Here is a 24139-nt window from a genome sequence, read left to right as displayed (position 1 = left end):
CAGGGCAGCCTGGCCAGGTGTAGGGGAGCCGAGGTGGGGAAAGGGGGTGGCCAGGGGAGAAGGGGGAGGCGGCGGGGGCCAAACTGGGCAACCAAGGGTGGGGCCACATCCCTGAAAGCCAGCCCTGCCACACAGTGGGCAGGAAGCGCCTCAAGAGAGCACGGGAGCCAGGTGCCTTCAACTCTGGTTTTATTGAAAAACAGCAGCATTGGGGGCCATTCAGGGGAGGGGCACACACCCACCCCCGGCCCCCGCAGCCCCTCTCCTCAGAACTCGCTCGCCCCCACCCTGGGGGCTGTTTTGGCACATCTGGGGCCTCAGAACAATCTGCCCCCGCCGTGGGCTCACAGTACAGTTTCGGGAACAAACAGCAGCAGGTGAACCCCACCCCCTGTGCTCCCCAAGCCTGGCCTCCCCGGACCTGCCCTGGAGCTGCCCAGGCCCTCCACCCAGGCCCTGCTCCACTGAGGGGCAAGAGGGGCCAGGGAGGCTCAGCCCGGGGCCTGGGGCCCAGCAGGGAAGCCGTGAGCAGGACCTGCTTCCCCGGGCACTGCCAGCCCACCACCGCCGGGTACCTGCACAGCCACATATATGCAAGTACACACACAGGCACTCGCACGCATGCATGCTCATGCAACACACATGTACACTCTACATGTACAGCTCACATATGCATCCATACACATGTGCATGCTCACCCATACACCAGCCACACACAAGTACTCATACGCATACATGCCCACACACAAAGTACACACACGTACACCATATGCATATGTATGCACTCATACACTCATACATATGTGCCCCCTCAGAGAAGTACACAAGAACATGCGCATCACACATGCATACGTGCTCATGCATACACACGCACATTCATACACACGTGCATGCTTATGCATACCCAAGACACAAACACATGTACACGCACACATGCGCACACACACGTACATCTATACACGTGCTCACGCATGTACACAACTCATGCACATGTACACCTATACACGTGTACACACACATGCATGCTCACGCGTGTACATGCTTATGCACCTACAACATGCACGTGCACAGGCTCACACATGCACACATGCTCACACTACACATATCCAAGAACCCACTTGCACACACACACACGCTCAAACACGTGCACATGCACACACACAGGTACATCCCTCCTTTAAAATGGCTAATTATTGCTGTTTTAAAAAAAATACATCCAACAATGGTATGTCCGGCTCGCCATCCTTCACCCCACCATGGCCCCGGGAGGCATCACGCCACCTCTGGAAGCACAGCAGCCGTGGCGCGGAGGAGTAAGCGGATCCCAGGGTCTGCAAGTCTGGAACTCAAACCCCAAGTGTCAGCTCTGTGGCCATCAGCCCAGGAACACAGGCCTGTGGCCAAACAGAAGCAGCTTCCAAACAGACATAAGCAAGTCAGCAGGCAACACAGGGTGCGCGACTGCAGCGCCAGCCCACGGGGGATGGCAGTGGGCTCCCTTGGCGCAGGGGCAACTGTCCCACCGTCCCTCGGGCACTGACAGGAAGGTGGCCCCACGAGGGCCCACACAGCCCCCTGCCCGGCGGGGCAACCACCTTCGGCCCCCACAAAGCCCAGGCGCCAGCAGAGCCCAGGAACCCAAGTTCCCAGCCTCAGGCCACCAGCACAGCCCTGGGTGCCCCAGGGCAGGCGGGCCTCTCAGAGGGGAGCCAGGTCCCTATGGCCCAGAGAGCTTCCCCAGCACCTGCCACACAGCCAGGAAGCTCAGGGCGTCCCCAGCCCGTCGTCCCCTCTAGGGCCTGCAGCCTTCTGCCATCTTCTCTGAGAAGGACACCCAGAGCAGGAGAGGGGTGGCCCCAGGACCTCGTGGCCTCAGGCCTGCTGTCCACAGGGCCTCCCAGGCCCAGCCTTCCCCCAGGGCCAGCCATCCACCCCTCAGGCCAGACTGACCCAGCCCTTGGCCCCTCCCTCCGGGGGCAGCTTCTCACCTGCTGCCCGGCCCCAAGGCATGCCACCAGCCGGAAGCAAGGCTGGGCATGGGGCGGAGGAAGGAGGAGGAGATGCCGCCACGGCTGCGGGGCTCAACTCCCTACGCTCAGGAGCCCTTCTGGGGGCCAGACCACATGGCAGCTTCAGCACAAGCAGGCCTCCCACCCTCAGGGACCAGGTCTGCAGCGACTCACACCTGGGCAGTGGCAGCTGCCTGGGGCCACCCCACCCCCAGCACAGCAAGACCCGTGGCTCTGGGCAGTGTGGGGCATCCCGAGGCGCTTCAGCCCTCAGCTGCCCGGAGCCTCTCGTCAGGCCTGCAGTGCTCGTCCAGTGAGGATGTCCTCCTTCGCCCAGCTCTGGCCCCAGGCACTGTCAGCCCCTCCCGCCTTCCACGCCCCCCACTCCAAAAACAGAGGCTTCCAAACACACAGAAATCCCAGGAGCCCCAGGCCCCTGAGCAGTGCTAGGGCCCGGCCTGGCTTTCCCCGGGCCTCACCACGCAGAGTTTGAGTGGTGGGTGCCCATGGGGAGCGGGCAGGGGGCCAGCACTCGGGGAAGCCGCACCAGCCACGTGACAGCAGGGCCCAGGAGGGCGCTTCAGAGGTAGAAGAAGTTACATCAGAGTTTCTACAAACGTATAAAATTCACGTCAGTGCACATGTGCAGAGCAGTGAGATCCCAGGCTGGAGGGATGAGGTGGGCCAGGTCAGGCCCACCCACCAGGCACCCGGCCTCCAGCCCCGGGGGAGGACACACCTACCCCCCAGTGGCCTTCAAGGGCGCCACCAAGCTACACATTGGCCTGGCAAGGGTTCCGGGCAGCTCCGCCCCAGCCTGGCAGGCACACCAGTGCCTCTGCTCACCTCAGGGGCGGCAGGGTTCTGCACACAACCACCCCGCACACCCTTCCTGCCATCTCTACCAAGTCCTGGCAGCAACAAAAAAGGCCAAGCGTCTCACCACCCACAGGGCAGTGCAGCCAAGGAAGAGGTCACTCACGGGCGCAGATGCCACCAGAATGAGAGAAGGCCACACTGCCCAGGACTCTCAGAACCCCCAGGAGGGGGATCTGCTAGGATCAATATCAAGGAGACACTGGCAGTCCCTGGGCCTCCAGGCCCTGCCCTGGCGTCGGTGGGCTCCAACAGCCACCCCCAAGCACCCTGCACCCCAGGAGCCCGAGGCTCCAAAGGCACAGGACCAAGGGACGCTGGCAGCACCCCGACATGACACCCCCAAGACCTGACTCCACCTGGCCCGCCCTGCCCCTCCTGCCCCCAGCATGCCCCGCACCAACTGGGACCAGCCCCAGGCCAAACCCAAACCAAACCAAAAGAGGAAAAAGGCACAACTGTTTGTTTCCATTTTGCTAAAACACTTTACGTCTGTCTGTATATTCCAGATTAACAAAATCTGAGCTGCAAGAAAATAGGGTGCCGATTTCTGTACAGTCTACAAAACTCCCATCCCCAAGCGGGGACCGGGCACCTCCAGGGAGGAATGTACAGGGGAGTGGGGTCTGTACAGTGCTCTGCACACCTCAATTGCTAACAGGACAAAAGGCCCTTGGACGCAGGGCTTCTCTGTCCCTTCGCTCGCTTCTGAAGCGCCTCGTGAGAAGCATCCCTCCATGGCCCTGCACGTGGCCTTGATGCCTGGGACCCAGTTCCGTGGCCCACCCTGCCTGCCACGACCCCTCCCCAATTCCCCCACACAAAGGGGTCTGGGCAAGTGTTTATTCTTCTCCTGCCACCAAAGCCAGGTCCACTTCTAAGCTGAATGTGCAGCCTGTGCCACCCTCCACCTCTGTCTCCCCTTCCAGGCCACCCCCCCCGCCCCCCGTCCAGGGCAGCCCCTGCCTGTGACCTCAGGAAGGAGAGACCAGGAGCATGGCCAGCGGAAGCCGAGGCGGCCACCCCTCTTCCCACCCAGCCCAAGGCAGCGCCCTGCCCCTCCTCCCGGAGGCTGCGGACTCCCTTGCCCCCCACCCTGCCCACACTGCAGGCCAGGGCTGGGAGGCGTGCTCCATGGCAGGAAATGACATCCAATCAGGGTTTCCCTCCAGGTTTCCAACAGCAAAACGCTCCACCCACCCGGCCACCCACCCCCATCACACTGGGCCAGAAACTGTGTCTTAGGGTACAAACTACCGTTTTGTCCCAAGAATTAAAGTCATGCAGAGTGCTATTCTGTCTAAATAACTTATTAGAAAATGTGTTGGTTTCAGGCTGGGAGAAGCTGTGGGCTGGGCGCTGTTGGCAGCAGCCTGGGCTGATAAGATTCACAGGGTGGACCGTCAGCCAGAGGCAGGAGGTCCCCGGGGACATCTGGGAGAGGCCAGCACGATCCAGTGGGCACTGGGGAGAGGGGTCCCATGGACCCCCACCCTGGCTGTGCCACGGACGCCATGGGAGTCACCTGGGTGATGACACCAGTCAGCACAGCCCAGGCAGGGGAGGGGCCGGAGCCAGAGAAATGGAGGGCGTCAGAGCAAAGCAGGTGTGGACAGAGCCGGGCGGCGCGGGGCAGACCAGGCCCTCCAGGAGGTGGGGGCAGGGGCAGGCCCTCCCACAGCCAGCTGGGGGCTGGGGACAGGGGCGCTCACCAGCCCGGGTCTCCGGGTCCAGTCTGGGCAGGGCGGCAGGGCGGGGCTGTGTGCATGCGGCATGCTCAGCCGGGCCACACCCTCGGCATGCGCGGAGCAAAGCAGCGCCGTGGCCAGCTGGGGCCTCCACAGGCAGTGGCGCTGGGGCCGCAGGCGGGGCCGGAGCCTGGCCCCGGGATCTGCTGCAGAGGTTCTGTGCTTGGTGAGCAAGGCTGGGCCTTCCCCAGTGGCGGCGGGCAGGGCAGCGTCATGGACAGCCGCGGTGGTCCAAGATGCCACTCTTCAGGTGGCAAGCCGCCCAGGCAGGTGGGGAAGGGCGAGGGGCTATGGCGACAAACAACCCACCCCCACCAAAGTGTCGCCGAAGAACAACAGCCCCGCACCCCCCGGAACCAGCCAGACAACCGCAGGATGTTGAAAAGGGGAAACCCAACACAAACGCCAATTGAGCGTCTGAAAGCAGGCCGCGCCGGGCGGCGGGCAGGCGGGCAAAGGCGGACAGGGCGGCCGGGGGGGCGGGCGGGCGAGCGGCGGCGGTCACTCCTCGCGCAGCTGCAGGCGGTAGCGGTGGTAGCGGACCTGGAAGAAGAGGCGCTCAGCCAGCGAGAGGGTCATGCCCGGCAGCACGTAGTGGTCACTGGCGCCCATGTGTCTGAAGCCCAGCGACTCGTAGAGCTTGTGGGCGGCCACCTTGACGGCCGTCGTGCCCAGCACCACCGCGGAGTAGTTGTGCACCACGGCGAACTCCAGCACCTTCCGGCCCAGCGCCTTGGCGATGCCCTTGCCTCGGAAACGTGAGTCCACAGACATCCGCAGCAGCTCCACCGTGTTGTCCTCCTCGTGGGCCCGTGCAGCCACAATGCCCACCACGTTGCCATCCAGCACGGCCACCCAGAAGCAGGAGCCTGCAGGGGATAGGGCGGTCAGGGACACCCGGTGAGGAAGGCTGGGGAGACCCCTCCACCTCTGGGGTGAGACAGGGCCCTTGGCACTGCCCCCTCCAGCTGGACACCAAGCCAGGGCAGTGGGACACCCAATCCCGGCAGCCCCCGGGGCCTAGCTACCAGCTCTGCTGGAGCCAAGGGAGGGGGCAGCCACTATTCAGGACAAGCAGGTAGAGCCCCCCTCCAGAGCTCCTTAAGCAGAGAAAGCCAGCCCAACACCTGTTACCCAACAGGCCAACAGCCAGGACCCACTCAAGCCTGGAGGCTGCGCTGCTCAGAGTAGTGGTCAAAGGCCCGAGTCCCTCCTCTGAGACCAAGAGCTGGGGCAGGCTTTGCCCAGTCAGGCCGCTGCCCTCTGCCCAGCTACTCCCAGACCAAATGCCTTGATGGCCCGGGCCACCCTGAACAGGCCATGGTGCAGCCAAACTGCTGTGGCTTCTGGCCACCCAGGGTCACCCGGGCCATCACGGCAAACTCCAGCACCCACAGCAGAGGGCCGCAAAGGGCAGGGGTCAGCAAAGTGCGTCCAGAAGGCTCCCTGCAGCCCAGGAGGAGCTTTCCTATAAATCCAAGTGGGGGACAGGGGATGGCCCCTCTGGCCCCGGCCTCTCCTGGCAGTAGGCCAAGTGGCCAGGCCATCACCCCATCCACAGCACGGCCCAATTCTCACCTCGAGTCAGGCACGAAGCCAGGAGGTGGCGGTCGTGGGGGAGGGGAACCGGCAGGGGAGGAGGAGAGGTGCAGGGGCAGGTTGGGGCGGTTGTGGGAGGGAACCTGCAGGCACTGGCCACAGGGGAAGCCCAGCCACCTCCAGCAGCCAAAGGCAGAGGTGGCACCCAGAGACCTCTCTGAAGACCAAGGGTTTGGCCAGTGGAGGGCCACACAGCCTGCCTGTGGCCCATCCAGCCTCCTACTCAAGGAGGCTCTGCACCTGCCCCGAGCCCCGGGAAGCCCTCCCATCCCTCCCCATTGCCCCTCTGCACAGCCACCAGCCTGCTGGCTCCATGAAGGGGACCTCTGTCTCCTTCACTGCTGGACACTGAGGCCTGGCAGGCAGCTAAAGGGGTACTGAAGGCCCTTCAAGGAGAAGCAGCGTGGGGGGGAGCCACTGGGCACCGCTGCCATCGCCACAGACACGAGCAGCTGGGCCCTCCAAGCTTTGTGCAGCTCCAGGGTTCCCAGGAGGGCTGCCCCTCCTCGGCCCCCTGTCCTGGAGCCCCTGGGGTCTCCCACACCCAACCCCCCATCTCCCTACCCACACAGCATCTCTACCTCCAAGGAGGGGATCCTGGACCAGTATCCCTCCCACCAGCTGGCCTGCCCACCACCCAGGGGTTCTGCCTCTACCTACCCAGGCAAGACGAGAGATCAGGGCCATCCCAGAAGTAGCAACCCCCAGCACCATGTGGCCCTGGGCACACCTCACTCCTCCCAAGACTCGGTTTCCCCATGTGCACAAGCAGCTCCCAGAATCCACCACGGGCCATCAGCAGCTATCCAGCCTCTGCCCTCGTGGGGTGTTCCTGCAGCCCTGCCAGCTACCCCTCCACTCCCTCACACCAGGGAGGCCACGGCCCAGAGGGAGCAGGGCCATGCCCCGTGTGCCCACCGGAGCCCCCTGTGTTGCTGTGGCCTGTGCTTCCTCATGGCCCGTTTCCCCTCCCAAGCAGAGGCTGGCCAGGGCTCAGGGGCTGCTCAGATGCTCTGTTTGGGTTTAGGAAAGGGTCAGGGAGAGCAGCAGGCACCAAGGCCGTGGCGCGGGGGTGGAGCATGGCAGCCAGCGGTGCCAGACACTGCCCCTCCCCTGACACTGACCGGGCTCCTGACAGACCCTGCCCAACCCTTTGGGCCACACTCTGTCCCTCTCGTTGGCCTACAGACGCTCCAGGATCGCAGAGAGCCTCCCACCCCAGAGAGCAGAGTCTTCACCCCTGCGGCATCCGGCATGGGGGAACCGGTGTGGCTCAGCGGCTGGGGGCCAGCCCGAGGGTGGAGAACAACCCCCACCCCCCCTAGAGCCCAGACCCAGCTCCTCCAGCTATAGAAGGCCACAGAGGCTGGGACAAAACCCTTCAGCTAAGCGGCCCAGCGATCAGGCCAGAAGTGAAGGCCAAGGCTCAAGGTCAGGTCCCCTGCCCCCACCCCATCCTCTGTGCCCCAATAGGGTCCCCGGCCCCTGCCACACAAGCCCTCTCCCCCCAGGACCCTGGCACTGCAGGCAACCCCATCCCCGCAAGGCACACCAGATGGGACCCACAGAGCCCAGCGGCCCTTGCCCCACCGCAGCAGGCGCCAGGGAGACGCATCCACAGCAGGGAACGGTGGAGCCACTGCGTCGCAGGGCCAGCTCAGGTCACTCAGCGGGAGGAACCGGCCGTGCCTCCCCCAGCCCCGCTGACACCGGAGGCCTCGGTCACCCAGAAGGCTCAGGTCACAGGGGCCCCGGCTCAGGCCCACCCACGCCGGCCCTCGCCCAGGCCTGCCCTGAGGTCGCTGGAGTGCGTGCCCCCGAGGGCTGTCTGGGGCGGAGGTCGGGGAGCGGCGGGAGCGGGACTCACCGGGCGGCTTCATGTAGTACTGCTCGATGTCCGCCATGTCCGTGTGCAGCGCGCACTCCAGGTAGGCGCGGATCACCTTGCGGCTGTAGTAGTAGCGCAGGCCCAGCAGCGCGGCCGGCACCAGGCACGTCAGCAGCAGCGAGCGGCTCACGGCGAAGCACAGCGCTGGGGGCAGAGGGCGCGGGTCAGCGGCGCGGCGGGGGTCCCCAGGCCCCAGAGACGCCACCCCGGCGAAGCCCGCTAGGGACGCCGCGCCCGGCCGCGCTCCTGGTGGAGGAGCCGGGGTCATCTCGGGTGCTTTCTACTTCTCCCTATTTCCAAGCTTCCTGCGGTGAAGACAGCCACCCCACCCACCCCCACCGCCTGGAATGAGCCTCGGCGGGTCTCTGAGCTTCCAAACACGGCAGGACACCCTCGGGATGGCCGGGCCGGGAAGGACTCTGCCCACGCTGGCCTACTGAAGCCAAGGTGGGCAGATCCTGGCAGGGAGCTGCCCCGCAGACCAGGCCCCGCGCGGGGGAGGGGGGAGGGGGGAGGAGGAAGGGGGGTGTCCCACGTTCCAGCCTCGGGCTCCAGGACCCCCTCTTCCCAGGGCCCCAGCAAGAGCCCTTCCTGGCCAGCGTCCGGGAGCTCTGAGGGCAGGGACAGGGCAGGGAGGCCCCACACCGCTTCCAGCCGCATTTCGGCTGCCGTGACCTTGGGGGAGTCGCGTCCTCCCTACGCGGCCTCAAGCGCCTCATCTGTAAAATGGGAGCGAACCCCCTCACCCCGGCAGGAAGCTCTGAGGGGAAGGGCACCCAAAGACGCTGAAGGGGCCGCCCTCTGCGACCGCCCCGGCTGTGCCAGGCGCGCGCACCCCCCGCGGCGCCGGCTGTCTTCCCCTCATAAATTAGCACCGAGCGGGAGGCGGCCTCCCCCGCCCGCAGATTATATTTAGGCACTCGCCGGGGCCCAGCCGCGGCGGGCGCTACCTGCCCTGGCACCCGCCCCCACCCAGGATGCCCGGGAGGGGACAGGGGAGGCGGTGGGGGTGGGGGGCTGCGCGGCGGGGACGCAGGTGCGGACCCCGGACCCTCCCCGGCTCCGGCCCGCTCGGGGCCCTGCGCCCATCCCCACGCCCATAGCCAGCCCTGCGCGGGGCCCGGCGCGGCAGAAAGCGGGGGGCTTCCCAGGCTGGTCCCCGGGAGCCGGGCGCGGGGTCCGCGTGGACGCCGGGGCGGGGGAGCTCCGCGCCGGCCCGAGGGACTGCGGCAGCCGGGGGCCCGGCGCACTGACCCGCCAGCAGGGCGTAGAGCAGCTGCGCGCGCGGGTGCTGCCGCAGGCCGCGGAAGGCCGTGTTAGGGATGCGCTCCATGATGCCGTCGTAGAAGATGCGGCGCGCCGCCTCCTGCTCGGCCGCACGGAACTCGCGGATGCACACGCCGCGCCCCCCCGGCGGCCCCGCGCCCCCCGCCCCGCCGTGAGGCTGAGCCACCGGGGCAGGTGGGGGCGCGGGGGGCGCGGCGGCCGGCCCGGGCGCGGCGGGCAGCGGGGGCCACATGGCGCCGGCGGCGGCGAGCAGCGCGTCCTTCTTGGCCCCCGGCAGCGCCTCATGGTCCTCGGCGGCCACGATCTTCGTCTCGCAGACCATGTCGGGAGGCCCACAATGCATGCACCCGGCCGGGCGGCGCGGCAGCGGGGACGCGGCCGGGCGGCGGCGGGCACGGCCGGGCCCAGGGCAAGGGCGCGGCGCCCTCGGACCCGCGGCGGCGGCGGCGGCGGCGGCAGCGGCGGCGGCGGCGGCGGCAGCTCAGGGGCGCGGGGCGGAGGCGGCGGGCGGCCGGGGCGCGCGCAGGGAGCTGCGCCGCATTTTGGAGAAGTATTTATAATGCGGCGGCGCCGGTGCAGTCGCGGCGCCCGCGGCCCGCAGGGTCCTAGCGTCCACTGCATTGGCTGCCGGGGGTCACCATGTGATCGCGGGGGTGGGGGAGACGCCGCCCCCGCCTCGCCGGGTGGCTCGCTGGGCGCGACGGGGCGGCCGGGCAGCGCGAGGGGCCCGGCACGGGCGGGGGCGGCGGCGCGGGCGGGGGCTCCTGGCCCGGGGGCGTCCGGCGGGGCTCGGGACCCGGCCGCGGAGCGCGTGATGGGCGCCGCCCGCCCCGCCCCCCGCTCCCACGCCGCGCGCCTGGGAGCGCCCCGACCCCGGGCCCGACCGCTGGCGATCGCGGCGCCACGTCCTCCTCCTCCTCCTCCGCGGCCGCCCGGAGCAGTCACGGCAGCGTCTCCCGCTCCGTCTCCTGCCTTTGTTTGAAAGCAGCGCCCGCGGTGGACCTGGGGAGAGGGCGCCGCGGCTGCCCCGGCCCGGAGCCCCCGGGAAGCCTCGTCCGGAGCCGCACGGGCAGCCGGAGTGGGGACGCGGAAGGGCGGGGTCTGCGGCCTGGCGCGGCGCCCCCCTGTCCGAGCCCCGCAGTGGGCACGGGGATGCGGGGCCCGCAGGACCCCTCCCGGCCCGGCCCCCGCCCCCCGCGGCCGCGCATGCGCCCCGTGGCCTCGGTGCAGGTGCAGCGGGGGCTCTGCGCCTTGTAGGACCTGCAGACGCCGCAGGCTGGGGCGGAGAAGCTCAGGTGCGGGGAGGCGGTCGCAGACCCCATCCTCGGCGCTTCTCGAACCTAGCCCCCTTCAGTTCTGCGCGACCTCCCAGCACCACCCCGAGGGCTGCCGGAGCAGAGCTTCCCCGACATGCGCGGGCGGGACGGGGCCAGGGGTCCAGGCCTGGGGACCCGCAGTCTGCGTTGTGCGGTGGAGTTGGGGCCAGCCGGGCAGCTGAGGTCACCTGAAGGCCAGGAGGGGCTGGGCCTGCCCGTGGACGTGGGAGTGAGGCCGCAGCGCCCTGGTGGGGTGGGGAGGGGCGGCTGAACTGGTCCACAGCCCCGTCCGCCAGAGAACGGGCCCTGGAGAGGGGCAGGGGACGGGGTGGGGGCGTGGGGGGGAGGGGAAGCCAAGCTGGGAAGGCGCCCCCTCAGTGTCTGGGGCCCGCTGTCAGCTTTTCAACCTAAAGGAGAAAACAGGCAAAACGAATAGAAATAGTTTGTTGGGGCCAAGTTTGAGGACTGCAGCGTGGAAGGACAGACTCAGGTTGGTCTGAATGCACGCGCTCTCATTCGCAGCAGTTGCAAGTGCGTTTTTAAAGGAAAAATGAAGACGCAGCTCCTAAATTCACCAAGAATTTGCATTAAAATGGCATAAGCTATTGATTGGTGTACATTATTTGTCACAAATTCCAGGAACATGAAGATGACGCTGAGGCGGCCAGGCGGACACTATAGGAAAGAAAAGAAAGAACAAAATGCCTTCCAGCAGTTGCCCCGGGCGTGAGTGGGGAGGCGGGACTGAGGCCCTGTACTCAGGTGTCTCTGGGCCAGATAATCTTTGAGAATCCCACATAGCTCCGGCTATTTTTCTTTTCTCATTTCTCGTGTTTGATCAAAAATTTTCTCTTCTCAAAGCAGTGATGATCGACATTCTAGATGTAAGTTTTTCTGCTGGGAAGGCTCATTCCCGGGCCATCTCACCCCGCATGGGGGGAAAGAGGACAGGTGCGGTGGGCGCTTAAGAACTTCGTGAGGCCTCAAGGCCAAGGTTGATTGGCACGGGGTCTGTCAGGCCGTCTGCTATGAAGGAGCCACGCATACCGGATGGCTTCTGAGCATCTAGCTAGCATCCTCGGGGTTTTTTGGTTGACTTTGGACATCTAGAAACACAAAGCCTAATCAATTTAAGAATGAAAAATATGGGCCGGGCGTGGTGGCTCATGCCTGTAATCCCAGCACTTTGGGAGGCCGAGGCGTGTGGATCACGTGAGGTCAGGAGTTTGAGACCAGTCTGGGCAACATGGTGAAACTGCGCCTCTACTAAAAATACAAAAATTAGCCGGGTGTGGTGGCAGGCGCCTGTAATCCCAGCTACTTGGGAGGCTGAAGCAGGAGAATCACTTGAACTCGGGAGGCGGAGGTTGCAGTGAGCTGAGATCGTGCCACTGTACTCCAGCCTGGCAACAGACTGAGATTCTGCCTCAAAAACAAGAAAAGAAAAAGAAAAAATGACACAAATAAGGGCAACTATTAACAATTTGAAATCTAGAACTGAAGAGTGCTTCTATTTTTGAAGGTAACCAGATACCTATTTTGTCTCCTTCTGGTCCTGGCCTGAAGAACAAGATGTTGAAGTTCTCCAGTGATGGAAACGACCTCTCTGGCGAGGCTGCCTGGTGTGGTCCCATCTATTGTGGTTGGAGGAAGTCCTATATTTGATGCTTTTCTCATGAAATCTCCAGGTTGGAGACCTTGAACTTTCATGTCTTCATCTCCTGAGAACTCGCCGTTAACAGAATCCTTAATTAATTTAGAATGTGCAGTGAGAAGCTCTATAGGGTCTCGGCAATAATGAAGAATATCGCCTTTAAGGGGAGCTGGTTTGGAGGCTCCTTCATCCAGGCACAGGGCCTTCCTGGTATTATTTCAAAGAGAGAAAGCTGATGTTTTCCAAACAGGGCAGAACCCCAGTTCAGCACCACAGTGGAAACACCTTAGGCCAGGGAGTGTTAGAAGCTGGTTTCAGCATTGCAGATGGGTTTTCTATTATCCCACCTGTGCGTTCCACAGTCTGGAAGATGGAGGAGGGCTGCAAGCACAATGGGAATGCCAATCCCTCCAATCCCAACCAGCTTTCACTATGCAAGGTAAGATGTCAATCAATCTTTTTTCTTTTTTCTTTTTTCTTTTTTTCAGAGAGAGACAAGGTTTCTCCATGTTGTCCAGGCTGGTCTGGAACTCCTGGGCTCAAGCGACCCTCCCACCTCAGCCTCCAAAAGTGCTGGGATTACAGGCATGAGGCACCATGCCTGGCCAATAAATCCTTTTTTTTTTTTTTTTTTGAGATGGATTTTCGCTCTTGTTGCCCAGGCTGGAGTGCAATGGCACCACCTCTGCTCACCACAACCTCCACCTCCTGGGTTCAAGCAGTTCTTCTGCCTCAGCCTCCCGAGTAGCTGGGATTACAGGCATGTGCCACCATGCCCGGCTAATTTTGTATTTTTAGTAGAGACAGGGTTTCTCCATGTTGGTCAGGCTGATCTCAAACTCCCAACCTCAGGCGATCCGCCCGCCTCAGCCTCCCAAAGTGCTGGGATTATAGGCATGAGCCACCGCGCCCAGCCCAATAAATCTTTTATAACGTCTCACAGTTTACCCCATTCTCTTTCTTTCCACAGCTTTCTATATCCACTCTTATCTATCATTCGTTTTTATCCCTTCAACTAAACCTTTAAAAACCTCTAGACAAATTTACTCTTCCCATAACAAAAACCACATTTTCATGCCTTCTTTATAATCTTTACCAAAGACATAACCTATTTTTCTTACATGCTCTGTATTCAGAATTGTTTCTTTTACATCTAGTAGTTTTAATTATATATATAAACTACAGTGTTTTTTGAGACAGGGTCTCCCTGTTCTTGCTCAGGCTGGAGTGCAACGGTGTGATCTTGGCTCACTGCAGCCTCTGCCTCCTGAGCTCAAACAATCCTCCTGCCTCAGCCTCCCAAGTAGATGGCACTACAGACCTGCACCACCACGCCTGGCTAATTTTTGTATTTTGTGTAGAGACAGGGTTTTGCCACGTTGCACAGGCTGGTCTCCAACTCCTGGATTCAAGTGATCTGTCTGCCTTGGTCTCCCAAAGTGCATTAACTACAATTGTAAGTCAGTAACTTCAAGTTTAGTGAAAAACCTAGGAAGGAATTTTGAACTGTTTTATATCAGCATTTTTAGATGGAAACCATTTCTTTTTTTTTTTTTTTTTTTTTTTTTAGAGTCTTGCTCTGTCGCCCAGGCTGGAGTGCAGTGGTGTGATCTTGGCTCAGTGCAAGCTCCGCCTCCCATGTTCATGCCATTCTCTTGCCTCAGCCTCCCGAGTAGCTGGGACTACAGGCTCCCACCACCACGCCCAGCTAATTTTTTTGTATTTTTAGTAGAGATGGGGTTTCACTGTGTTAGGCAGGATGGTCTCGATCTCCTGACCTCGTGATCTGCCCAACTCAGCCTCCCAAAGTGCTGGGATTACAGGAGTGAGCCACCGCACCCGGCCCATTTAATAATTTTTTAGGAAGATGTTTCCTCAATTTTTTGCTTATTAACAGATCTAAATATTTTTAACTTTTCTATACCATATAAAAATACAATGCCAACGTATATCAATTTAAAATTGTGTTTAATGATTGTTTCAGTATTTTAACTGACTTAAAAATAACCTCAGACATGTTGTGGCCGGGCGCGGTGGCTCATGCCTGTAATTCCAGCACTTTGGGAGGCCGAGGCAGGCGGATCACGAGGTCAAGAGATCGAGACCATCCTGGCCAACGTGGTGAAACCCCGTCTCTACTAAAAATACAAAAATTAGCTGGGCATGGTGGCGGGCGCCTGTAGTCCCAGCTACCCAGGAGGCTGAGGCAGGAGAATCGCTTGAACCCAGGAGGCGGAGATTGCAGTGAGCTGAGATCGTGCCACTGCACTCCAGCCTGGTGACAGAGCAAGACTCTGTCTGAAAAAATAAAATAAAAATAAAAAATAACCTCAGACATGTGATTGATATGGTTTGGCTCTGTGTCCCCACCCAAATCTTATGTTCAATTGTGATCCCCATGTGTCGGGGAGGGGCCTGGTGGGAGGTGACTGGATCATGGGGGTGGATTTCCCCGTTGGTGTTCTCACGATAGTGAGTGAGTTCTCACGAGATCTGCTGGTTTAAAAGTGTGTGGTGCTTCCCCCTTCACTCTCTGTCTCTCTTCCCCGCTCTGCCATGGGAAGATGTGCCTACCTTCCCCTTCACCTTCTGCCGTGAGTGTCAGTCTCCTGAGGCTTCCCAGTCATGCTTCCTGTACAGCCTGCAGAACTGTGAGTCCATCAAACCTCTTTTCTTCATAAATTTCCCAGTCTCGGTGGTTCTTTACAGCAGTGTGAAAACAGACTAATACAATTATTACCTATTAATTTAACATAACATGATTTTAATATTAAGTTACTGAAAAAGATTTTTAAGCCAGGTACAATGGAACCTGCAAATCTGGTAACTTAGAAGGCTGAGGCAGGAGGATCACTTGAGCCCAGGAGTTCAAGGCTGCAATGAGCTATGATTGCGCCACTGCATTCTAACCTAGACAACAGCACAAGATCCTATTTTTAAAAAAGTAAAAATACTGCCAGACGCGGTGGCTCATGCCTGTAATCCCAGCACTTTGGGAGGCTGAGGCGGGTGGATCACGAGGTCAGGAGATTGAGACCATCCTGGCTAACATGGTGAAACCCTGTCTCTACTAAAAATACAAAACATTAGCCAGGCGTGGTGGTGGGCACCTGTAGTCCCAGCTACTTGGGAGGCTGAGGCAGGAGAATGGCGTGAACCTGGGAGGGGGAGCTTGCAGTGAGCCGAGATCACGCCACTGCACTGCAGCCTGGGCGACAGAGCAAGACTCCATCTCAAAAAAAAAAAAAAGTAAAAATACTTTTGTAACTATGAAAAGTTCACTTATAAATTTTTATCCCATTTACATTCACTTTACTCATTCTTCTTCTTTTTTTTTTTTTTTTTTTTTTTTTGAGATGGAGCTTCGCTCTTGTTGCCCAGGCTGGAGTGCAATGGTGCAATCTCAGCTCACTGCAACCTCTGCCTTCTAGGTTCCAGCAATTTTCCTGCCTCAGCCTCCCAAGTAGCTGGGATTACAGGCATGCGCCACCACACCCAGCTAATTTTGTATTTTTAGTAGAGACAGGGTTTCTCCATGTTGGTCAGGCTGGTCTCGAACTCCCTACCTCAGGTGATCCGCCCACCTTGGCCTCCCAAAGTGCTGGGATTGCAGGCGTGAGCCACCGTGCCCAGCCAACTTTACTCATTCTTAACTATTATGCTTGATTTGTCCATTAAACAAAGCTAGCCATCATCTCAAGTTATTTCCTTTTTAATAATTTTTACAGCCTGAAAATGTGAGGCAGTGACCACATAAGTGAGAACCCCAAAGTTTCAAACACAGGCATTTCACCAATCAGAAGACACCGTTGTTTTCCTCTAACTAACAGTATCAAAGTAGTCTTACCTACCAGAGGTTTCCTCAAGTCATGTGAACTCAAAGGCAGTTGAGTTGGTTTCTATTTTTCTGATAAAATATTTTATTTAACACCTACTTTTTCTTTAAACCAAGTAACTAATTGGTGAATTGGTTAATTAACTAGAGCACCTTCATACCCGTTGGTAGTGAAATATCACATGCATATGACACATAAACATAGAGACATAGAGACACACAGACAGAAGCAGATCCTGTAGGGGTATAAGATTCTTCATCTGTCAGTTTTCAAATTGTTTCTCGACCCCCTTTAGACTATCAGTCTCTTGATTACCTGTTCCACTGCCCTTAACAATCGTTAGCTAAGAAACCCTCAACTTATACTTCCAAAGACGTGATTCTTAGGAGAAACAAGGTAGAAAATGTATATCTCAAAGGCACAGAACTTAGAGCTAAACACTGTTATTTCCTGAGACAAAAAAGAGCACAGATAATTAGGTCAAGACAACACCGCATTGCTTGAGGCCAGGAGTTCGAGACCAGCCTGGGCAACATTGTGAAACCCCATTTCTAAAAAAAAAATTTTTTTTAATTAGCCAGGTGTGGTGGCACATGCATGTAGCTACCCAGGAGGCTGAGGTGGGAGGATCCCTTGAGCCCACATGTTCAAAGCTGCAGTGAGCTATGATCGTGCCACTGCACTCCAGCCTGCATGACAGAGTGAAGCCCCGTCTCTGTCAAAAAAAAAAAAAACCATAAATAAAATGAAATAAAAAATTTTAAAATACCAGGAAAAGTATCTTTTTTTTTGAGATGGAGTTTTGCTCTTGTTGCCCAGGCTGGAGTGCAATGGCACGATCTCGGCTCACTGCAACCTCCGCCTCCCGGGTTCAAGCCATTCTCCTGCCTCAGCCTCCTGAGTAGCTGGGATTACAGGCGCCCACGACCACACCCGGCTAATTTTGTATTTTTAGTAGAGACAGGGTTTCTCCATGTTGGTCAGGCTGTTCTCGAACTCCCGACCTCAGGTGATCCGCCTGCCTCGGCCTCCCAAAGTGCTGGGATTACAGGCATGAGCCACCGCGCCCTGCCCAGTAAAAGTATCTTAAACAAAAGTAAGACTTGCTATGTAAATGTAAATGTTAAGTCAATATCTTCCTTATCCTCAAAGTTTCTAGTGGTTTAGAGAAAGAGATGTCCTTAGAAATGGAGATTTCCTTTATAGATGTCCATGTCTTTTACAGAGTCTCAACATAGCCAGCTAAACATCAGAAAGTTGCATTCTGGCAGACCCCTTTAGTGAACAGGGCACAGAAAGCATCTGCAGCGTTCAGGAGCTGCTGTTTAAATATGCGAAGAGCAGGCACAGCTGGAAGGCACAGCATCCAGATCTTTAAGTATCCAGGATCCCATCTTTACACCAAATCCCCAGTCCCCCAAGAGAAGAAACCCCATGGGACCGGGCCACACGGTGTTTCCACAGTGTGCCACGCTACGAAGACATTCTCCCAAGGCTGGTGGGTGACCCAACACCAATCAGCCCACCCCGTGATCAGCCCGTCACCCCAGGAGTCTTTTACCTTGGTGGCAAGACTTCCCATAGCCTCCAGGGGCCCAAACTGCACCTTTCTTATCTAAATGCACAGAGAAACAAGTAGCCCCTGCCATAATAACCATTCACTACAGCCGCTGCCAGCTACCTCCCAGTGACTTTGGGGATGGGCTTTCGCCAGTGACTTGTCAGCCATGGCACATGAAGGTCAAGTTCTCTCTCATAGTACAAAGTAATCCCTGGAACGCGCAAAGCCAAAGAGATCAGGTAACGCAATGCAAAAGACAGCAGAGCTTTCGGCCTGAGAGGGGCCTGCCCAGGACTCTCGAGACTCCGTGAGAAAGGCAGAAGGCCCCCAAAACAGGGTGTGCGTGGCCGTTTTCTGTGTTCCTCAAGAGGTCTCAGGCTGCTAGAAGTCTCCTATGTGGTACTGAAGATGGTACAAGGCAGGAGAAGCACAAGCAGAGGAAAACGGAAGGCGTCACAGAGGAGCCGGTTCTCAAGATTTTAGGCTTTCTAAAAGGTCAGTGACGTTTTACATTTTTCGCAGCAAACTCATGCCGACAAGAAAAGCAAACAAAGGGACCAAACTTATTTTAAAAGGGGTTTCAGTCGACTGAAAAAATCCCAGCAACAGGATCCAGGTAAGAAGTGTCAGCACTTAGGGAAGCTGAGGCAGGAGGATCACTTGAGCCGAAGAATTTGAGACCAGCTTAGGTAACGTAGCAAGACTCTGTGTCTGCCAAAACAAAAAACAAAACAAAACAAAAATACAGAAAGGCCTTTAAAAATGTGTGTGTGTGTGTGTGTGTGTGTGTGTGTGTGTGTGTGTGTGTGTAGCTCAAATTTAATTTTTTAAAGAGATGGGATCTCACTCTGTTGCCCAGGCTGGAGTGCAGTGGCACAAACAACTCACCACAGCCTCAAACTCCTGGGCTCAAGTGATCCTCCTGCCTCCACCCCCAGAGTAGCTGAGATGACAGGCGTGTGCTACCATGCCTGGCTAATTTTTAAAAAATTTTTTGTAGAGACCGGGTCTTGCTATACTGCCCACGTGGCTGAATGTTAGCTTTTAATTAGGCTGACTTCTGACCATAGAGCTCTTAAAAAAAAATCCCTTCAAACCTCTTATTATCAGATTTCAGTCAGGATAAACAGAAAGTAGGTCTTCCATCAGTCTGGTTCTAAAATCACCTTTTCCAACTGTGCACACAAATAAATTATTTTAGCCATTTCAAAGGACCCCCATTTCAGCCATTACTGCTGATGACCATCCCGGGCTATGTGGGTCCATTTCCCTAGATATTTACAAAAGGATGCCTCACAGGTGTTGTACATAAAACCAGCTGCTGTTTCTTAAGGCAGTTGTCCCTTAAAACAGTGCTCAGCTTTTGGTCAGGCGCCGTGGCTCGTGCCTGGAATTCCAGCCCTTTGGGAGGCCAAAGTGGGCAGATCGCTTGAGCTCACAAGTTCAAGACCAGTCGGGGCAACATGGTGAAACCCCATCTCTACAAAAAGTATAAAAATTAGGTGTGGTGGTGCATGCCTGTAGCCCCAGCTACTCAGGTGAGAGGATGGCCTGAGCCTGGAAGGTGGAAGCTGCAGTGAGCTGAGATCGTGCCACTGCACTCTAGCCTGGGCGATACAGCCAGAACTTGTCTCACAAAAAATTGTTTTAAGAAAGAAAAATAGAAAAGGAAAAGAATGCTCAGATTTTGAAGCTTGGTTTCCCATAATTTAGGAACTTTTCAAAAGTGACCAAGGCTGGGGATGTGTTTTGGGGTGAAGTGCGCTGCTAATGAGCCACTCCTCAGGGTGTCAACTGAGAGTCAGGGACTCTAGGTAGTGGCGTGACCAGGCCCTTATTTATACCTTTCCAGATAAGTGGGAGTTACAGAAATGTTCTCCTGTGAGGGGTGTCCTGTGAGGCCACCGCGCACCCAGGACAACAGTTCTGACATCTCTGCCAAGTCTCTGGTTGCCCAGAGCACCTGCATGGGTCGCAGACAGCAACCGACTCTTCTCTTTGGGGTGAGGCAACTCACCCTCATGCACCTTCCCACATAGGACAGACAGGAACTGGCCCCAAATGAAAAGACAAGTCTGAACTACAGGCAACGGGGAGCAGTTGAAATTGTTGTTGTTGTTATTATTATTATTATTATTATTATTATTATTATTTTGAGACAGAGTCTCGCTGTGTTGCCCGGGCTAGAGTGCGATGGCACCATCTTGGCTCACTGCAACTTCTGCCTCCTGAGTTGAAGCGATTCTCATGTCTCAGCCTCCCGAGCAGCTGGAATTACAGGTGCGTGCCACTGTGCCTAGCTAATTTTTTTATTTTGGGTAGAGATGGGGTTTCGCCATATTGGCTAGGCTGGTCTTGAACTCCTGACCTCAGGTGATTCATCCACTTTGGCCTCTCAAAGTGCTGAGATTACACGCATGAGCCACCGCGCCCAGCCCAGCAGTTGCAATTTTTAAAGCTTGCTGTGTAACTTTAGGCCCAAAGATGTGAAACCACCAGTGCCAGACTGGTGCCCATACCAGGCCCTAAACCCGTTGCCCTGAGGCAGTGGCAGAGAAGGCGGAGTTCTCTGTTTATCTGAGTCCCCTGTCCAAAGACAGAGACTGAAGCCCTCTTTCTGTTAAAAGCAGGTTTAAAAAACACTCCAAATAAAATCTAGATGTCAACCAAAAAGAAAACAAAGCTCTGAATTCAGGAGGACTCACCCCTGTGCACCCAGGAAACCTCTGGAGTGAGGGGAGCATGGTGGGTTCCTGCTCATACCACCCCCAAGTCCTGGAAGGAGCCCCAGGTGGTCAGGGAAGAGGGTCACTGAAGCCTGCTGACTTATGCCAGATATGTTGACCTAAAGGGAAAAAACTGAGGCAAAATTAATGTGAAGTGGAGAGTTTACCGGAGCCAGGTTTGAGGACTGCGGCGCCGGGGCACAGGGTCAGGGCAACCCTTTAGGTTCACGCCTTCCAGGGAGGCAACGTGGGTCATGGACAATCTCGAAGGAACTCGCTGATCCATTCAACAACCCCTGCACCCGACGCTCAAGTGCTGACCAGGGTCCCTGCCCAGCCACAGGGGCAGCTCCGCAGTGTCGTCCTAAGGTCGGCCACGTGGACGGCAGGAAGGGCGTCCCAGCAGAGGGATCAGCACGCAAGGGGTCCGGGCAGGAAAAACCAGGCAGTGGAGGCAAGTGAGGGGCTGGCGCGCCTGGAGAGCCAGGGGGCTGGAGGAAGATGAGGCTGGGCTTTGAATGGGGGCCTGGGGCTCCAGAGCAGAGACTGGGGGAACAGGCTGTCATGCTTCTGATGGGGGCCAGGAGAGGGGAGAAGCCATGGTCACTGTCCAGGAGCTCCTGAGCAGTGTCCCCACCCAGACCCCAAGGCCTGAGTGACCTCTGAGGAGAGCGGTCCAGCCCTTACAGGGCCACAGCCTCTGCCGGCCCCTGCCCTCTCCACCTCATCCCCACAGCCTCAGCCTGAGCCTGCCACTGCTCGGCCCCAGCAGCCAGGCCCAGAGACAGAGGCCTGCTCAGCACGCCTTGGTGGCCCTTCCAGTCTCCATCTGCAGACTCCCTCCCACCAGCCTGCCTGGCCTCACCCTCCAGCCCCTACAAGTCACCCAAAGCCCGTGGCCATGTGACCCCCAGTAGCCCTGATGGTCAGCTGAGGCCTGTGCTCCAGCCCCGGGTTCATAGGTACCTGGAAGGCACCAGAACACCGTCAGCTTGGAAGGGTCAGGGCTGGGCTCCAGGAAGCAGCCTGGAAGGTCTGGGAGACCATGGTACTTGCTCTGGGTGGGGGCTGGGGGGCCTAGAGCCCCTCCCCACGACAAGGGGAGAACCCCGTAGGCCACACGGTGCTCCCAGCGCCAGCAGCAGAGCGCCTATATCAGCCCCAGGCTGTCGCCAAGGGCCCATTTTACAGAGGAGGAAACTGAGGCTCGGTCAGGTCAGCCTGTGGGGCAAGAGCGGAAACCCAGACCTGTCGGTCCTCCCTGGCCGCCCACCTCCGCCTCTGTCTCCTGCTTCCCTGAGCGCCCTCCTCACCGGAGACCCCTGCCCCTGCCCCAGTTGCCCCCGCGCCCCGCCTGGCCCATGCAGGCCTCGCCTTCCTGGGAGCGGAGCGGCCGAGACCGTCCGGATTTCAGATGCCAAGCTGAGAGGCGCCCGGGCCTCCGCCGCTTGGATACTCAGGTTCGAGGAGGGCACACCCAACGCAGCGGACGTGGGCAGTGCAGCCCCACCCACGGCAGAGCGGGGACCCGCGAGCCCACGCCCAGGCCGGACTTGCGGGGTCTCCTCCAACGCCGTCGGGGCGCTCCTATCCCGCCGCGAACGCCCCGAGCCCGAGTCCGTGGGGAGGAAGAACAGGGGCGCGGGGAGCCGCCGAGCAGCCCAGGGGAACCCCAGGACGGCGCGGGTCTGGCCACGGTGGGAGGGAGCAGGGCGGGGTGGAACGGAGCTGCGGGTGAGACGGGGCGGGGGGCGGGCCGAGGTCTCTTATGAAGTGGAACTACAGACCGGGAGGCCAGAGGAAGAAGGAGGAAAAGCAAAACGGTCCCCAGGCCCACAGGGCGCCTAACGGGGCTCCACAGGAGGCCGGGAGGTGGGAGTGGCAGAAAGGCGCCCAAGGCCCCAGGCTCGCCCTACCCCGCATCTTCCATGGGAAGATGGCCCAAAACCACACCCCATGCAGCCCTGCGTCCCAAAGACCCCCAGAGCAGGAAGGGAGGGGCTGCGGGGGACCCCTGTAGCCAGCTCCTCCCAGAGCCCTGGCCCAGGCAGCCTCCCTGCAGCTTCCACTGGGGGAGCGCGCGGCCTGCAGGGGCGCCTGGGAAGAGCAGATCTCACCCTCCTGGGCTTCACAATCCAGTGTGGGGTGGCAGGGAGGAAAGAAACAAACACCCCGGGACCCCTCAGGGACAAACGCTTAGAAGAAAATGCGGGGCTGGGTGTGTCGGCGTGCGCTGGGGACCCAGCTACAGGCTCTGGGCTCTGTGGGCTGGTACCGGCACTGTGGGCCCCACTACTCAGGAGGCCCAGTGAGGAGGATTGCTTGAGCCTGGGAGGTTGAGGCTGCAGGGAGCTGTGATGAGGCCACTGCATTCCAGCCTGGGCGACAGAGCAAGGCCCTCTCTTAAAAATAAACTATTTAAGGAGGGACACAGGGCTGCAGAGTGAGGCCGGTCCCAGGGCAAGGGATGCGTCCCTGCAGAGGGCACATGCACAGGCCCTGCGGTAGGAAGGGTGACCTGCAGATGGACTGTGGCAGCAGCCGCCTTCCAGACAAGCAGACACAGTGTCCCTCCCACACGCTTTTCTACATGGCAGCAGGGAGAAGAGGACATAGGATCCAGAGAAAGGCGGCTCTGGGCTGGAGTGCAGGTGGGCAGTGGGGATACCCAGCGGTCAGGGAGGAAGGCAGGGCCCACAGGGAACACAGGGAGAGGCCCTGGACCAAGGGGATGCCCTGACACTGGAGAAGCTACAGACATAAGGGCGGAATGCAGGGAAGATCAGGGAAATAGCAGGTCCAGGAAAAGAAAAGGTGTCCCAGAAAGAGACTGCAGTGCCAGGTCACTGCTCGGCCATGCCAGGGTTGACTCATCCCTGAGTTGCTGAGCCCCTGGCAGGAAAGCTGCGCCATGGCTCCAGGACTGAGTGTGAATGCCACTGGCCCTGCCCACGCTTGTGGCCAGGCTCCCTCCGCTCTGCTCCTCCGAGGCCTTCCCCGCTCTTCATGGACCCTGTGGTCCTCTTGCCTTGCTTGGCCTTGGTGGCATGAGACACAGCTGTGGCTGCCCGGGACGCAGCTCAGTTCTCTTCCTGCTTCACAGCTGCTCGTCACCCCTAGGGGCCCTCTTCTCTCCTCTGCCCCCAAACAGGCCACAGGGGATCCCAGACTTCTCTCTCCAGCTCCTTTTACAGGCGTACCTCCCCAGTGGCCTCCCGGACCCCCATGACCACTCCCACCCCCCACCCAAATCCCACAGGCTCTACCTGCAAACACACCCGGAATCCAGCGGCCTCTTACCCTCTGCTGCCGTGGGGCTGCTGTCCTTCTCAGTCTGCCGTCACCTCCTCACAAGCCCCGCAAGTCCCTTCCCTACCGGCAGCCAGAAGCTCCCGTTACCAAACCTTGTCCTTGCCCCAGCCCCGCAAGGCCTAGGGGGAGGCCTCTCCACCCAGTGTCCCACAGCCAAGCCTGGCTCCTGCCCCCACTGAATCCCAGAGGGCACCTCCCCAGGGCGTGTGTGACGAGTGTGCCCCAGACCCCATCTTTTATAGTAATGGAGACCTCACCCTGTGCCAGGGCACACAGCTGCCCATAACACAGGACACTGAGTTATATTTGAATTTTGGATAAACAATA

At 58.8% G+C, this 24139-nt stretch overlaps 1 protein-coding gene across 1 annotated transcript, besides 1 other annotated feature; it reads right to left on the bottom strand.

The window, feature by feature from the left end:
• On the bottom strand, nt 173-9935 carry NAT8L (N-acetyltransferase 8 like). The gene is made up of 3 exons (NM_178557.4): nt 9375-9935; nt 8100-8264; nt 173-5502 (listed from the first exon to the last, which is right to left on the bottom strand). The coding sequence occupies exons 1-3, from the start codon at nt 9748-9750 to the stop codon at nt 5135-5137; spliced, it is 909 nt and encodes a 302-aa protein (NP_848652.2). The 5' UTR covers nt 9751-9935; the 3' UTR covers nt 173-5134.
• Nucleotides 2117-2730: an enhancer, noted in NCBI's record as "H3K4me1 hESC enhancer chr4:2068259-2068872 (GRCh37/hg19 assembly coordinates)". NCBI's record gives its function as "activates a minimal SCP1, AML or CMV promoter by ChIP-STARR-seq in primed H9 embryonic stem cells {active_cell/tissue: H9 hESC(primed)}" and the evidence as "EXISTENCE:reporter gene assay evidence [ECO:0000049][PMID:30033119]".

This window comes from Homo sapiens, chromosome 4, assembly GCF_000001405.40.
Source record: "Homo sapiens chromosome 4, GRCh38.p14 Primary Assembly".
NCBI lineage: Eukaryota > Metazoa > Chordata > Mammalia > Primates > Hominidae > Homo > Homo sapiens.
Note: the sequence above shows the minus strand (reverse complement) of the source record. Positions and strands in the feature narration are given on the sequence as shown.

Excerpts from the sequence above, each read along its gene's own strand:
- NAT8L (NM_178557.4), bottom strand. The coding sequence starts at position 9,750 with ATGCATTGTGGGCCTCCCGACATGGTCTGCGAGACGAAGATCGTGGCC. Across the intron at positions 8,265-9,374 it reads GCTCTACGCCCTGCTGGCGG|CGCTGTGCTTCGCCGTGAGC; the intron begins GTCAGTGCGCCG and ends CTCTGCCCCCAG. Across the intron at positions 5,503-8,099 it reads GTACTACATGAAGCCGCCCG|GCTCCTGCTTCTGGGTGGCC; the intron begins GTGAGTCCCGCT and ends TATCCCCTGCAG.